This window comes from Homo sapiens, chromosome 19, assembly GCF_000001405.40.
Source record: "Homo sapiens chromosome 19, GRCh38.p14 Primary Assembly".
Lineage (NCBI taxonomy): Eukaryota > Metazoa > Chordata > Mammalia > Primates > Hominidae > Homo > Homo sapiens.
Window position 1 is genome coordinate 27,353,900 of NC_000019.10, and position 3,250 is coordinate 27,357,149.

General features: G+C 35.9%; 1 annotated feature.

Annotated features, from left to right (window-relative positions):
• Positions 1-502: an enhancer, noted in NCBI's record as "NANOG hESC enhancer chr19:27844808-27845309 (GRCh37/hg19 assembly coordinates)". NCBI's record gives its function as "activates a minimal SCP1, AML or CMV promoter by ChIP-STARR-seq in naive H9 embryonic stem cells {active_cell/tissue: H9 hESC(naive)}" and the evidence as "EXISTENCE:reporter gene assay evidence [ECO:0000049][PMID:30033119]".

Consider the following 3,250-nt stretch of genomic DNA (forward strand, 5'->3'; position numbering starts at 1 on the left):
GCACTCCAAATATCCATTTGCAGATTCTACAGAAAGAGTGTTTCCAAACTGCTCAATCAAAAGAATGTTTCAACTCTGTGAGATGAAAGCATGCATTACAAAGAACTTTCTCAGAAAGCTTCTGTTTAGTTTTCTTGTGAAGATATTTCCTATTTCACAATCACCTCAATGAGCTCACAAATATCCCATTGCAGATTCTACAAAAGGACTGTTTTGAAACTGTTCAAACAAAAGAAAGGTTCAATTCTGTGAAATGAATGCACACATCACAAAGAACTTTTTCAGAATGATTCTGTCTAGTTTTTATGTGAAGATATTTCCTTTTTCATCATATTCCTCAAAGCACTCCAAATATCCATTTGCAGATTCTACCAAAAGACTATTTCCAACTGCTCAAGAAAAAGAAGGGTTCAACCCTGTGAGATGAATGCACACATCACAAAGATGTCTTTCAGAATGCTTCTGTCTAGTTTTTATGGGAAAATATTTCCTATTTCACCATAGGCAATAAAAGGCTCAAATATATCACTTTGCAGATTCTACAAAAAGACTGTTTCCAAACTGCTCAGACAAAAGAAAGTTTCAACTCTGTGAGATAAATGGACACATCACAAAGAAGTTCCTCAGAATGCTTCTCTCGAGTTTTTCTGTGAAGGTATTACTTTTTCACCATAGGCCTCAAACAGCTCTGAAATATCCCTTGCAGATTGTAGGAAAAGACAGTTTCCAAACTGCTCAATGAAAAGAAAGCTTCAATACTGTGAGATGAATGCACCCATCACAAAGAAGTTTCTCACAAAGCTTCTGTCTAGTTTTTATGTGAAGATATTTCCTATTTCACAATAGGCCTCAATCAGCTCACAAATATCCCTTTTGCAGATACTACAAAAGCACTGTTTCCAAACTGTTCCAACAAAACTAATGTTCAACTCTGTGAAATGAATGCACACATCAAAAAGAAGTTTCTCAGACTGCTTCTGTGTACTTACTATGTGAAGGTATTTCCTTTTTCACCATAGACCTCAAAGCTCTCCAAATATCCATTTTCAGATTCTACCTAAAGACTGTTTCCAAACTGCTCAAACAAAAGAAAGGTTCAACTATCAGAAATGAATGGACACAACACAAAGAAGTTTCTCAGAATGCTTCTGTCTAATTTTTATGTGAAATATTTCCTATTTCACCATATGCCATAAAGGGCTCAAAAATATCTCTTTGCAGAATGTACAAAAAGACAGTTTCCAAACTGCTCAAAGAAAACAAAGGTTCAAATCTGTGAGATCAATGGATACATCACAAACAAGTTTCTCAGAATGCTTCTGTCTAGTTTTTATGTGAACACATTACTTTTCCACCATAGGCCTCAAGCAGCTCACAAATATTCCCTTACAGATTGTACAAAAAGAGTGTTTCCAAACTGCTCAATCAATAGAAACTTTCAACTCTGTGAGATGAAAGCATACATCACAGAGATGTTTCTCAGAAAGCTTCTGTCTAGTTTTTGTGTGAAGATATTTCCTATTTCACCATACGCCATCAATGGATCACAGATATCCCATTCCAGATTCTGCAAGAGGACACTTTCCAAACTGTTCAATCAAAAGAAAGGTGCAACTCTGTGAGATGACTGCACACATCACAAATAAGTTTCTCAGAATGCTTCTGTCTAGATTTTATGCGAGGACATTTGCTGTGTCACCATAGGCCTCAAAGTGATCCAAATATCCATTTGCAGATACTACATAAACACTGTTTGCAAGCTGCTCAATCAAAAGAAAGGTTGAACTCTGTGAGATGAAAGCATACATCTCAAAGAAGTTTCCCACAAACCTTCTGTGTCGTTTTTATGTGGAGATATTTCATATTGCACAATAGGCCATAAACGGCTCACAAATATCCTTTTGCAGATTGTACAAAAAGACTGTTTCCAAACTGCTCAATCAAAAGAAAAGTTCAACGTGTGAGACGAATGTGCACATCACAAAGGAGTTTCTCAGAATGCTTCTGTCTAGTTTTTATGTGAAGATATTTCCTTCTTCACCACAGGCCTCAAAGTGCTCCAAATATTCATTTGCAGATTCTACAAAGAGACTCTTTCCAAACTGCTCAATCAAAAGAAAGATTGATCTCTTTGAGATGAAAGCACACATCACAAAAAGTTTCACAGAAAACTTCTGTCTAGTTTTTATGTGATAATATTTCCTATTTCATGATATGCTTCCATGTGCTCACAAATATCCCTTTTCAGATTCTACAAAAGGACTGTTTCCAAACTGTTCAATCAAAAAAAAGGTTCAACTCTGAGAGATGAATGCACACATCACAAAGAAGTTTCTCATAAAGCCTCTGTTTAGTTTTTATGTGAATATATTTCCTTTTTCACCATCTGCCTCAATGTGCTGCAAATATCCATTTGCAGATTCTACAAAAAGAGTGTTTCCAAACTGCTCCATCAAAAAAAAGGTTCAATTCCATGAGATGAATGCACCCATCACAAAGGAGTTTCTCAAAATGCCTCTGTCTAATTTTTTTTTTTTGATGATATTTCATTTTCCACTATAGGTCTCAAAGTGCTGCAAATATCCATTTGCAGATTCTACAAAACAACTGTTTCCAAACTGCTCTATCATAATTAAGGTTCAACTCTGGGAGAGGAAATCACACATAACAAAGAAGTTCCTCAGAAACTTCTGTCTAGTTTTTGTGTGAAGATATTTCCTATTTCACCATAGGCCACAAAGGGCTCAAAAGTATCCCTTTGCAGATTCTGCAAAAGGACTCGTTCAAAACAGCCCACTCAAAGGAAAGTTTCATCTGTGTGAGATGAATACACAGATGACAAAGTAGTTTCTTAGAATGCTTCTGTCTAGTTTTTATGTGAAGATATTTCCTTTTTCATCATAGGCCTTAAACCACTCACAAATATACCTCTGCAGATACTACAAAACGACTGTTTGCCAACTACTCAATCAAAGGAAAGGTGCATCTCTGTGAGATGAATGCACACATCACAGAGAAGCTTATCAGAATGCTTCTGTCTAATTTTTATGTGAAGATATTTCCTTTTTCACCATAGGCCTCAATGTGCTCTAAATATCCATTTGTAGACCACACAAAAAGACGGTTTCCAAACTGCTCAATCAAAAGAAAGTTTCAACTCTGGTAGATGAAATCATATATGACAAAGAAGTTTCTCAGAAAGCTTCTGTCTAGTTTTTGAATGGAGATATTTCCTATTTCACCAAAGGAC